This window comes from Homo sapiens, chromosome 15 (genome assembly GCF_000001405.40).
Source record: "Homo sapiens chromosome 15, GRCh38.p14 Primary Assembly".
Lineage (NCBI taxonomy): Eukaryota > Metazoa > Chordata > Mammalia > Primates > Hominidae > Homo > Homo sapiens.
The window spans coordinates 53025635-53039556 of NC_000015.10; the positions used below are offsets into that span (position 1 = coordinate 53025635).

Sequence of the window (13922 nt, forward strand, 5' to 3'; positions counted from 1 at the left end):
AATTGTTTCGATTTTTAGATCACATAAATAAGTGAGAACATGCAATGTTTGTCTTTCTGTGGTTGGTTTATTTAAAAAAAATAATGATTTCCAGCTCCATCCATGTTGTTGAAAATGACAGGATTTCCTTCTTTCTTATAGATTAATAGAACTCCATTTTGTATATGTACCACATTTTCTTTATCCATTTATCTGTTGATGGACACTTAGGTTGCTTCCAAATCTTGGCGACTATGAACAGTGCTGCAATAAATAGTGGAGTGCAGATATCTCTTTGATATACTGATTTCCTTTCTTTTGGGTATATATCTAGCAGTAGAACTGCTGGATCATATGATAGCTCTATTTTTAGGTTTTTTTTTTTTTTTTTTTTTGAGAAAGCTCCATACTGTTCTCCATAGTGGTTGGAGTAATTTACATTCCCATCAACAGTATATGAGGGTTCTCTTCTTTTCTGTATCCTCTCCAGCATTTGTTATTTCCTGTCTTTTATTTATAAGCCATTTTAGCTGGGGTGAGATGATATCTCATATTAGTTTTGATTTGCATTTCTCTGATGGTAGATGATGTTCAGCATCTTTTCATGTACCTGCTTGTCATTTGTATGTCTTATCTTGAGAAATGTCTATTTAGATCTTTTGCCTATCTTTTGATTGGATTATTAGATTTTTTTTCTATAGAGTTGTTTGAGCTACTTATAAATTCTGGTTATTAATCCCTTGTCATATGGGGTGTTTGCAAATATTTTCTTGCATTTGGTGGGTTATCTCTTCACTTTGTTGCTTGCTTGCTGTGTAGAAGCTTTTTAATTTGATGTGATCCCATTTGTCCATTTTTGCTTTGGTTGCCTGTACTTCTGGGGTATTACTCAAGAAATTTTTGCCCAGACCAATGTCCTTTACAGCTTCTCCAAAGTTTTCTTTTAGTAGTTTCATAGTTTGAGATCTTAGATTTAAAGACCTTTTAGATTGAAAGGCTCTTTTTTGATTTCCATTGGCGTAGAATATCTTTTTCAATCCCTTTATTTTCAGTGCATGTGTTCTTTTTTTTTTTAAATAGGTGAAGTATATTTCTTGTAGGCAACATATCATTGGGTCTCGTTTTTTTCCATCAGTTTAGCCACTCTGTGTCTTTTGATTGGAGAGTTTTGTCCATTTACATTCAATGTTATTGATAAGTAAGGACTTACGCCATTTTGTTATTTATTTTCTGCTTGTTTTGTGGTCCTTTCTTCTTTTTTTCTTTTTCCTGTATTGCTTTTAATGAAGGTGATTTTCTCTGGTGGTATGACTTAATTTCTTGCTTTTTAATTTTTGTACTTTTTTGTGTGTTTTTTGATTTGAGGTTACTGTGAGGCTTGCAAATACTATCCTATAACCCATTATTTTAAACTTATGACAACTTAACACTGATCACATAAACAAACATTCAAAAAGAAAAATAATAAAAACTCTATACTTTAACTTCATCCTCACTTTTTAAACTTTTTGTTGCTTTTCCTTATGTCATATTTTACTGTCTATGTCTTGAAAAGTTGTTGTTATTTTTGATTTGTTTTTTGTGATAGTGCTTTTCTGTGTGCAAATAGTTGTTAAAATTTGCTGTTGCTGTGGGGAGGATGAACGGTGTGGGCTTCTGTTCTGCCATCTTGCCCCACCTCCTGAGATGTGCATTTTAAAATTTTGTGCACTTTCCTTAAAATGATTTAAAAAGAAAAGAAAAATATACATATGCATATCTTTGACCAAAATTTCCACTTTGATTTATGTTATAATACAATCATATATCAGTGAAGTGATGCATTTATAGGATATTGCAACACTGAAATGTAAAAAGATTAGAAGCTACTGAAATGTTCTTTAATAGAGACCAGTTAAATAATTTATGAATAATCCATACAATAAAATATGAAACAGCTGTTAAAAAAGTGAATGACACAGTGCAATGTATACTTATCTGAAAGTCTTTCAATATTAAGTGAACAAAAAAACAGAGTTCAGAATAGTATGGATATACAAAATTTATGTATATGGAAAATGTGTGGCCTATTTCTAAAGTGAATAATAGTAATTTCCTTTGGCTAAAGAACTATGTGACTAGAAGAAAGGAAGAGAAGAAGAATTTTTCAATGAACTTCAAGAGGTGTTTTTGAATTTTTTGCCATAGATATATATTACTTTATTTGAAACTCTTTCAAATAGAAGAAAATACTAAAAAAAAAAAAACCAGAATTACCCCACCAGTCAGATATTTCCCTAAGCGTTTAACATATAAAATACAGGAATTGGTGTTATAGCAATTTTACAGATGTAGACAGTGAGGTTAGAAGGCTAAAAAACTTGCCTAAGATCATTCAGCTAATAAAGAGTGAAGCTGAAATTCAAACCCAAGTCTATATGAAAGGAGATTCAGCCTATTTGAAGAGACACAGCAAGAGAAAGAGAGAGAGAGAGAGAGAGAGAGAGAGAGCGCTTCCTGGCCTTCCTTAGCTCAGTGTGGAGCCATTTTGAAAATCTGCAATACGCCAATGATACCAATGATGCCTCATGTCAAAATTGCATTAAAAGTCATTATGTGTTGTTACAGTTCTTTTGATTCCATTAAAGTCACCCAGTGGTAACTGCCAAGTGAAACAAAATAAAAAGTAGAGATAGAAGCTTAGGAATTAAGGTTTCCTGCAGAAAATTCTAACATATAATAGTATTCACCTCTTTTAAGCTAGCCACCGCTAATTTAGGCCCATTTGTTGGGAAGTGCTTTGATTATATTTTATTTTATGGAGACATAATCTTCTTAATGTTGTAACAATTTCATCTCTTTGATGAAACTTACTATGATTTATTCTATAACTTTATACCCTCATTTTAAACATTTATCAGGGTCTATCTCCCACATCTTCCATGTTCAATGGGTATCAAACAAATCCTAGGCAGTCTGTTTCTAAATGTTACTTGGCTATTCCCCACTTTCTGCATCCCCATTGCCACTCTTCTAATCCAAGCCTTTTGGACCTTTAGCTTTAACTACTGCATTAACATCCTCAATAGGCTTCTTTTTCACTCAATCATTTACCATTCATTCATTTCTTCACTCTCTGTCTTTTGAGCACTTACTATCAACAAGATCTTGGGTAAACAGTGAGAAATAAAGCATAGTCCCCTTTCACAAGGAACTTATGGTTTACTGAAGAAAAACAACCATAAAAGCAGAAAATTACACCACAATATGAAAAGTGCTTTAATAGTAGTATGTACAAGATGTTATGGGAGCCCAAAGGGAGAAATGGAGGATATGCAGTGGAAAGTCATTGGAGGCTTCTCAGAGGAGGTGATGTCTGAATGAAATCTGTGAGGAGTAAGAGTTTTTCACTGGATGTGCAAGAAGAGCAATTGAGAGAGAAGAAATAACTTGAGTCAACTCAGGGAGACATGAAATCACCTTCTCTCCCTTCCCTATCTATGAGTTACAGCACGTAGTCACTTAAGTTATTTTTAATAAAGAGAAATTGGACATGCAGTCTGCTGATAAAACCTTTAATGACGCTCCAATTTCTTCAGAACCAAGAAGAAATTACTTGGTGTCAAAGAACCCTTTCCAGTTTTCCTTCTTACAACTTCCTTGAGATTTGGCAACACCAATTTGGTTAAGTTGGGAATTCTATTTCTTAGAAACCCTTCTTTGTAGGGTTCCCAGTTAGATGTCTGAAGGAAGAACTTGAATGAAATTCGGGAGGTGGGAGAGAAGCAGCAGTTGTTAATTTGGAAGTTTGTCCCAGTCAGATACAGAACCTGATGGGTTCTAGCTGATCATGGCTCTCCTCTTCTCTGTGTCTAACACATCTTCCCAAATGCTGCTCTGCTGACCAGTAGTGGTCTCAAGCCCACTACAAGACTCTTGACTATGAGTGTGCAGAGGTTGTGATCTTTAGAGACCATAGCTTCCTCTAGTCCTGTCCACAAGCTCTTCCTTTGTGGTTTCACTTTGGTGGCTAGATAAATTGGTTTCTTGGATTTCACTGCAAGCTTCAACTTTTCTTCCCTTGCTAGTGCTCTAGGTAGACTGGTTAATGACTTCTCCTCTGATATCCTGACCTTCACTTCCCCAGCTCCTCCCACAGTTGTGTAAGGTCTAATTCCTAAAATAAATCCCTGATTCCTGTAATACTTATGGTGGCTATAAACCCTGATTGATACAGGGAGGTTTCTTTAACAGGTCATGAACATTGATTAGAATGCTCCCTTCCTCTGCTCTCCATTTTTAGCATGGCAAACGCCTGTGTTGTTCACAGGTTCAGTTTAAATGTGTCTTCCATTGTGAAAACTTCTAGAACCTTCCTTTTTGCCAGTTTCACACAAACAGTGGTCCTGAAACACTTTGGATCCCTTTTCTTTATTTCCCACATCTACTATGGTTTGGTGTTTTTTAATCTATTCTCACCACGTATTGTGAACTCTTTCAGGTGGAGGAACATGTTTTACTATCTTTCCTGTCTTTCTTTGTTCTTCCACCCCCTGAGTTGTATAGCACAACACACAGTTCCAGTAATTGATTTGAGCTTATTGACTTGCATAGAACTTTCATACTACTCCTATGTATACATAGGAGTTGCTTCCAAATCTGTAAGGATTTGCAAGACATCTAATAGGAGGATTCATAGTTGAGAATCAGATGATCTTATAGATAAGACATTGGAAAAATGAGGAAGTGGACAGATACACAAAAATCATTTAAACTATTTTATGACATGAAAATAAGACAGTAAAATTAGTACACTAAATAAAGAGAATGCCAATGCCATATTACTCATTATTAGGTGGTTATAAAAGTTACATGACAGTTAATTTAGATTTGCCACTCCTTGGTACTGAAAACTATTTTCAGATTTCTTCTACCATTGTTTTAACACTTAAAAAAATGAATTCATCACTCCTCTTTTATTTCCAGGTAGCAGGCATGCTGAAAGGGCTTTTCTTTGTGTCTTCTCCACTGTTAAAGTATTTAGTGCCTTTTCTGATGACTTAGAGTTGTTGCCTCCCATCTCTCAGGTTCTACTCCTGTTTAGAAATGCAGTGACTTGGATATTAACAACGGAGAAAAATGAGGGAAACAAAAACTAACAAACAGGTAAACCTCAAATCTTTGAGGAAATTTTATTTAACCGGTTCGATCTCACTGAGCAGGCATTTCTCACCTTCTATCCTGATACAGAGATTTAGAAACTCTCTCTGCTCAGCTAGTTTCATGCCAGAGCACGCTCAGCCACCATACTCACATCTCTGTTTCCTGCCTTGCAAAAGTCACAGGAGTGCAGTTCTGAGGCCAGGTTTTACCTTCTTTCCACATCCTAAGGGAGAAAGAAAACATTGCAAAAACTCCAGCTCGTGTTCTGCTGTCTGTTTTGCTCCTTTTCCTATTCCCTACACCACTTTCTCTTTTTCTAATTATCCGCAGTCGGAGAGATTCATAAATCTCATACACTGTAACTGAAAGTGAAATTCTCCCCATTGCTGAAAAGCTGCACAGAAGCAAATCAACAGGTACTGGAATTCTGTATACAGGGAGGCTCACAGCAGGAGAAGTGTATGCTATATTCAATTTTAATATTCTAGTGTTCACAGGTTTGCCTCCATTTGGTATTTTTTTAAAAAAGGAAATAGTAGTTTCTCATAAAATCTTCTTGAAATCCTGCTAGAAATATGGAGAGTATTTATATTAATTGTTTTATTTTAGAAACTTTTTGGCAGTTCTTGCTAATTAACCTGATTGGCTGAGGGAGAAAATTGCTAAGAGACCAATCACATTGCTTTATATTTGAAACCTTGGCTATTTAAAGATAGCTCCCTTGGATTTCATGATAACCAGATCCTGAAATGGTCAGGCATTAGATTTTGAGTGTTTCAACAACTGAATGGGATGGCCCATTGATTGCCCATTCATTGTGACAGCCCAGAGCCCCATGATTGACCAGCATCTGGTTAACTCAGTTGACCTGGATACTCCAGGCCCTGATGATTGCTCCCTGAACCCTAAGGGGAGCTTGGACTGTCAAGAACTAGTCACGTGCCTGTTTTGTTTGCAGAATTGTCATTGTCAGAGAAGAAAATTCATAGTCCACCTTTGTTCTTTCACAGTACCAGGCAGAAAAAACAAAACAAAAACCAAAACCTGACAACACTTTGGAAAATTGGTTCCATTAAAGATATGCTCTATCATATCTACCCTGATGAGCACAATAAAATAAAAATGATTCTGGTGCTATTTACACAGCTGGGTTTATTTGATTTGTAGGTTATTTAAAGGTGCTCTAAATCAGTAGTCTACAAACTGTGGTCCCAGAGCAGAGGCAGCAGCTTTACACAGAAACTTGTTAGAAATGCATTCTTAGGCCCCACTCCAGACCTACTGAATCAGAAACTCTAGGGATGAGGCCTAACAACCTTTGTTTTAATGAGCCTTCCCAATGAGGCTGATGCCTGCTCAAGTTGAGAACCATTGCTCTTAACTGCTGGTATGTGGGGTTTTGTTTAAATGGTGACACCTGGGATCCTAATTCTGCTTGTTCTCTTCTCTCATTCTTTCCTCCTGAGTCTTCCAGTCAGAAGAGTCACTTCTCTCATTCCTTAGTCCCTCAAGGCCTTTTGTAACCTCCGCTCTGGGGGCCTGGGTGGGATGCCTAATGTTGGGATGCACTGGGAACCTTCTAGCCTCGTTAGAATTTAGCAATTAAACCAAAGTGTTCCACCTGGTTTTGTTAAGCAGCACTGGCTGACCTTCTGGGCTGGTCCAGGTACCTGACACTTTGTCCTTCCCTCCCTCTTGCACCCTCCTGCATATAAAGCAAAGCATTGCCATTGTATATCCCAGCATTATATGAGACAGGTAGTGGTTAACCCTCTCAAAGTATTTAGAACAGGACCCTGGCAATTTTAAGCCTTTCATTCTGGAAGAAAATTTTCATTTGTTTTCTGTATGAGTCTGGTGTGCTGGAAGTCCACAACAAACCTAGAATTTTAAAATACTCATTGCATTGAAAGAAGCATGGCCACTTTCTATTCTATATGTGAGATTTAAGGGCTCAGGAAAATGTCAGCTTGCAAAGCTGCCTAAACGTTGCATCTCCTTCTTTTTCAAAGGCTGGGTTGGATGGGGAGAGGTTGGAGATACAGACTTATTGGTCTTAACCAACAAAGTTTACTGAAACCAGATATATCTAAGAAAAACATATTGGTGTGGTGTTTTTTTTTCTTCACTAGAACTGCCCTCGATAAAATGTGGGTGTCATTTGAAAAGGGCATCATTTCCAGTGAATTCTGAAAGTGTCACACAGGGTATTGATTGATCAGTCTTGCCGTCAGCGTGATTGGGGCCAGCGTGGAGCTGCTCCTGTGATCCAATTTTCAAAGCTCACAGACACCTTCACTCTCTGGCAAATAGCATCAGCAAGTGGTCGAACAGAGGGCACCAGAGAGATGGGAGTGGGGTGCAGGAATAGTCTGGCAGAAAGGTGGCAAGAATGAATGATTTTGTATCATGATCAGCTTGTCTAACCACTGTGTGTTGAAAGCTGTAAGTACACCTCAGGTGCATTGGATGGTTAGGAGTCTAATTTGTTTTCTCTAATAAGCAACATTAAGCTGTGAATAAGTCAAAGCAGCTTCTAATCAATGAGAAATACCAATGCCAACATTGGTGAAGTCACTTTAAGATAATATAAGTGTCTTAATTTGTGTTCGCTTTTGCCCTCAAGTTCATATTCATAATATAGACATGGGACAGAAGTACTCCGCCGAACTGTATTTCCTTTATGGTGTGAGCCAAAGTTACATCTAGCCCAAGTGGTCCTTAAAATAACAAATATATAGTCTACACACATGGCTTCTAAGGGTGCCATTCACTTGCTCTAGGATTGTATGTGTGAATAAATGCATGAATGTATATGAGCAGATAAGTCTGCCTTGACCTGTGTCATGAAGAGTTTGGAGGTGGGTTGAGTGACCTTAGGCAAGGGATGATCTCTTTATGGGCCCTCATTTTCCTGTTTTTGAAACGAGGGACTGGACAACAGAAGTTTTAAGAATCATTCAAACTTCGATATTATGTGATGTTTTCCATGGCTTTTACTCAGGGGGAGCAAGAGTGAGGCAGCGGGCAGAGAGTTGGTTTGAGTAGAATGAAGGTGAATGAGTTCTTTCTACTTCCTGAGCAAACAGTTTCCTGGTGTGTGAACTCTGGACTTCTTGATGAGAAAAATAAGCTCCAGGTTTGCAGCTGGAAGGGTCAATTCCAGGGTCTTCCTTGGAGCTTCCTCTAATCAACTCCAGGTTCCCTGGACCTCAGGGCCGGGATTGAAACCAACTCGGGCAATAAGTACTCCTAGGAAGTACAGGCACCTCCATTCTGACCTGAGGGTCCAAAGGCACTTTGCTTCTCCTTAGGACTCCTCCCTGGGACTGTCAGGGCACATCATGGTAGGGAACATGCAAACGTGTTTCTTCCCTCCTTTGTAGCAGAGAATAGCACACTATGAAAAAACCACTCTAATTCTTACATACTCTTTTAACTTATAGGCCTGCCACACTCTCTGCCTATTTAATACTCTATCTTGGGATAATTAGCTGTGCCAAACATGGACAGAGGAAACTCCTTTGTTTCGAATCACATCCTTTCTTCAGTCTGACAGTCTATGCCCAGTCATAGGTGGCTATGTTTTTCCATAGCAAGACCTCACAGAGATACTGGGAGGTTAAATGCAGCACTGAGTTGAAAGCATCAGATCGTATGCAGGATGCTATGTGTGTAACATTTGGTTATTATTTCCAGTGAGCTGAAAATTCCTCAGAGACCAGGACTAGGCCTATTCTTTCCATGCCCTTTGCTTAACACATCATAGGAGCTTGATCGATGTTGGTTGAATAGAGGAATCAGTTGAAAACCTGCCTCTGTGGCTCTTGTAAGTGACTTGTAACTTACTCTTAGAGTAGCTCAGGGAGAAGCATTGGTATTTATTTTTGGTAAGGTCACTTAGTATCCTGGCCAGTTTTGTGGATAATGTATTCATGTGATGCATGGATCTTATGATTGTGACTCTCCATCATAAGTGATTTCCAGGTAGAAAATTCTGTCATTTAGTGTCCTGGCCAGTTTTGTGGATAACGCATTCATGTGATGCTTGGATCTAATGACTGTGACTCCCCATGGTAAGTGATTTCTAGGTAGAAAATTCTGTCCAACTGTTGACTTAACCTTGTTAAAAGTATGCCTAGTTCAACCTTTGTTCTCTTGCTGGGACATCTGGGCTTAAACAGTTCAGCCTTGTTTGTTCTTACAGCCCCACTCTCAGATATATGCAGGTCAATGGACTGGCTTAGCCTGGTGTCCTGCCGCACCCCCCTGGCAGCCTGCGCCATTGGCCAGCACCTCCCTGAAAAGCAGGTGGCTGTGCCATTTTTCTGCACAATCATCCTGTCACAGGGATGAGTGACGTCTACACTGACACCATTCTGGATGACAAAACTGAGGGGCTACTTTACAGAGTGGCCAGTCCAACCAGAAGAAGGGTAAAAGGAATCAAATAATCATTATTCTAGAGAGAGGACTGAGAGCTGGAACTTAGTGATGTCAGGTATTTTGCACATTTATCCAGTGGTTCATTATACTTTGTATGTTATGTAGGAATTAAAAATGATTTTATCTGATTGAATGGAAAAAAATACTAAAGTATAAAGTATAAAAAAGTTTAGTGATGTTTTTCCCCAATTAGTTAATGGCAGTATTGGGTCTAGAATCCAAAGTGTTTAAAGGCACCACCCCCTCTTTCTTTTTTTTTTTTTTTTTTGAGTCGGAGTCTTATTCTGTCGCCAGGGCTGGAATGCAGTGACTCAATCTCGGCTCACAGCAACCTCTGCCTCCCGGGTTCAAGCAATTCTCCTGCCTCAGCCTCCCAAGTAGCTGGGATTACAGGCGCCTGCCACTACGCCCAGCTAATTTTTTGTATTTTAAGTAGAGATGAGGTTTCACCATGTTGGCCAGGCTGCTCTCGAACTCCGGACTTTGTGATTCACCCCCCTCTTAGCATCCCAAAGTGTTGGGATTACAGGTGTGAGCCACCGCATCCAGTCCCCATCCTTTTTTTTTTTTTTTTTTTTTTTTTTTTAACCACACTATAGGCTCCTTTTTGTTTTTTAACCACACTACAGGATCTCAATATATCCAGTCATTGTTGTCCTATTGTTGCTTTGCCTGCTGTCCGGTGCTAAAAATCTTTCTACTGTTTATGGGAAAAAATTCCAATGGCTTTCAAAACCATGTTGCCAAAGCAAACAGCTCAGACCCTTACCTTTTCTCCATAGGTGACTTTTCAGTAAGGAAAATAAAAGTACTAAATGTTATTACACATTTGAGAGCCAGCCCAAATGATTTCAAAGGCAACTTATTCTACTTTTTCCAAGTTTTAAAATTTTATTAGAAATATTATGCATGCAGGTTGAAAGAAGAATATTTGGGTAAGAGAAGAATTGATGATAGTATAATCTCATAATTTCAACCTGACGTTAACTGGCATTTAGAGAACTTCTTGTCACTATATTTTCTCTGGGCTCATTTTCTTCCATCTAGTTATAATTATATTGTTGATAATAGTTGGCAGTTCCCTCCACTTAATATTACAGTAGAGGAGCTTCTCCTTATTATGTTTTCTTTATAGTCTTCTATGACTTATAATAGCTCATTATATTGAGTGAATATATCACAACTTGATCATTCCATATTTTTGAAATTTAGATTGTTTCCCCTTTATTGTGTCTATTTTTATATCCACTGCTGTGAATCTTTTAAAGCATAATTTAAAAAATTATTTAAAATTATTCCTTTAGATTAAATCAAAAGGATATACGTAGTCTACATTTTAAAAACTATTGGTATATCTTGTTTCATTATTTTTCAAAATGGTTTTACCAATTTATACTGCCTACAAGACGTTTATTTCACCTTTTTTATTTTATATTTTTATTTAATTTATATTTTCAAATTTTGTTTCTGTTTTTCCTTACTTCGATTGTTTACCACTGGAATCTTGAGACCAATTAAATTTTTAAAAAGGATTAAATACAGCTAATTAACAAAAACCTGTCACATGCTTATATGATTAAATCAGCAGATGGAAACCTAGGCCACTAGCTTATACTGGTCACGTAAGGTCTCTTAGACAACTAGTGGCTACAAGTAGAATGAGAAGGTGTTTTGAGGTCAGATTAAAATGGGGCTATGTAGCCTCAGAGGACTGAAATCACTCTCTACACTTTTTAGAACACTGAGACTGGATAACAGGCATTTGAGGCAGCCTTGCCCCTCTGTCTTTGGGAAATTTTGCTCTTGGGAGAATGGTTTGTTTAATTTAAACAAAACCAATTATTATTTTTTTTGAGAAAATGTATTTGTGACTAACATGTGACCTGGGTATCCAGTGTCCAGATCAATGCAATATTTTACTCATAAGATACCACAGTCATTGTTCTACCTAATTACTATAAGGAGACAAATGGTTCCTTTCTCTAAAAACTCCAAAGGTAGTGAAGAACTGTGGAATCCAGAGATGTGATTTGTAGATTGTCTGAGATGGTTGAAAGTAACTGCTACTAAGCATAGCCATGTGGTCTCCTTATAAGACACATTAGCTGTGGTTCAATGATTTCTATTGTTGCACCTTATACCTGGTAGATGTGTGGTTGTTTATAAGGATTTTGCGCTTTCTGTTTCTCCCTTAAGGAGGGGATTCGCTTTATAGGCACTTTTCTTAACCTTGCTCTGCAGATTAAAAAGCTTAAGGACCACACAGATTTCACGGCTTCTGAGTGCTCATTCATGAAATTCCAGTAAGGGTGAGTGTGCTGATAAAGGTTGTTTTCCTGAAGAGAAACCAGTGCAATTGCAATGACTTAGAATCGAATTATAAATGATTCAATGCAATCAAATACTGCTTATTCATAAGTAGAGGGTGAGGAGGAACTCTTTTTGTAAATAAGGTGCTCTTCTCCTGCAATGGGATGTGACAGCAAAAATACAATAGGGGAGAGAGTATGTTTGTTCTCCTAACTCCCTTCTCTCTGCTTGGCCATCTTGGATTTAAGGAATGTCTTAAAGGTAAGGGAAAGCAGGGGCTCACTAGCAAACGAGAATGGGCAAGGAATGGGTATTCCCAGTTTGGGGCAAAATGAAAAAAAAAAGAAAAAGGGAAAAGAAAAGACAAGCAGAACTGACTGACCAATGGGAGTTGGGCACATTCATGACAGTAAATTGGGCTCCTGCATGCTCTAATTCCTGCTGCACCCCAGACTGCTAACATGCCTTGGATAAAAAGGAGAAAAGAAAGGAGGGAAAAAAAAATCCATGCGGGAGGTTGTGAGTGAACAGAGTCTGTTCCGAGCTCCCTCCACAGGCAGACACCAATCAATAAATCAATAGGGAATGTTCACTGGCTGTGAAATGGGTAGAGAATCTAGTGTCAAGCTGCTTCAAGATGGATGGACAGCGGGCTTGCTGTCTGCTGAAAGGCCAGAGGTGACTATCACCTTGAGATGAGATCAGTGAGCAGCAGCCTAACAGCCCTTTGAACTCTAAGTCTATGATTGAGGATGTGGGCAGGGCTTAAAACAGTCCCAGTGCGACCCCACAGTGACATCGTCCTCTGCTCTGTGCATCACCCCCAACACTCACACCTCTTGGCAGAGCGGACGGTTTGCCATACAGAGCCTGGCTGCTGTCTGCCCCGGGCCTGCTGTGCCCTGTCATTGAAGTAAAAGCTACAGGAGACTGAATCAGAAATTACTAGATGCCCTAGTGGTGGGAAGCATCGATCAGAAAGGGTAGGGATTTTCTGCACAACAGTCGGATCTTTCCTTTTATATAAAGGGGGTTTAACATAGTACGGACGGTGCTCTCACTGCACAGCACTGTATGTTAACCCTTGCTTTCGTGGACTTAACCTAAGGCTGCCACAGGGGTGGCTATGATCCGTCTCTCTGAAACTCAGAAAAGTGCTTTCTGTTTGAAGGGCCTTTAGGTCAGGCCAGCCTGGCTGTGTGGGGCGGTCACTGCTGCTCTCGTGGCTGTGTGCTGGCTCCATTGGAGCGGTGGGTGGCTTATCTTCAGCTGCTGCTCGGCCAGCATGCTGCAGCATCACTGAGTTTCAATACAGAGAGGGGAACAGCCTGGCTCCAGAGACCCTGCTGTTGAGGCGGGCAGGGGATGGTGTATTCCTTGTCCTCTCTGTGACCCTCAACTTACTCTCACTTTCGAAAAGACGAGGCTCCTCACCTCCTATGACTGAGACCAAATTTTCACTTTGGGTTCAAATGCTGAGCTATGAACCTCCTGCTTAATTCTCAAAATGTGGCTCTGTCCAGAAGATGTAAATGGCTTATCCTAGAGAAAACATAAACAAAAAGTTCTGGGTGATATTTCATTTATCATTCAGATAATTTACCATCATCTGGACACACATATAGTCTGCATGTCTTATTCATTTCTTCAATTCTTTTATTTGATTTCACGTTACTTGCCATTCCTATTGTGTGCTAGGCAATAGGTAAAGAGATGAAGAAAATATGGTCCTAGCCCTTGAAAAATTAGGGGTCCTCAAAAATGATTTATAAAACTTCTGTTTCTCTTATGTCTAGAAGCTCTCATTTATTTCTCTAAAAAGATTTTTTTTTTTGGTCTTTAAAGTTTTTCATTCATTTTTTTTTTGATGGGCAGAAAAGACAATTTGGGGGGTTGGACAGAAAAGTAAAAAGTTATACTAGATAAATGAATAAATGAAGGTTGTGTAATGTATTGGGAAATGCATTGTGGAGGAATTCATTCATTCATTCATTCATTCATTCATTCATTCATTCATGCTTGCATTCACTCATTTATTCCACAAG

The 13922-nt window shown here is 38.6% G+C and overlaps 1 long non-coding RNA gene across 5 annotated transcripts in view, besides 1 other annotated feature; it reads left to right on the forward strand.

Annotated features, from left to right (window-relative positions):
• Positions 1-13922, forward strand: part of LOC107983981 (uncharacterized) — a 417903-nt gene that overhangs the window by 221883 nt on the left and 182098 nt on the right. The gene's annotated exons all lie outside the window — the stretch shown is intronic.
• Positions 9258-9552: a silencer, noted in NCBI's record as "tiled region #2235; K562 Repressive non-DNase unmatched - State 24:Quies". NCBI's record gives its function as "represses a minimal TATA promoter and a strong SV40 promoter by Sharpr-MPRA in K562 cells {active_cell/tissue: K562}" and the evidence as "EXISTENCE:reporter gene assay evidence [ECO:0000049][PMID:27701403]".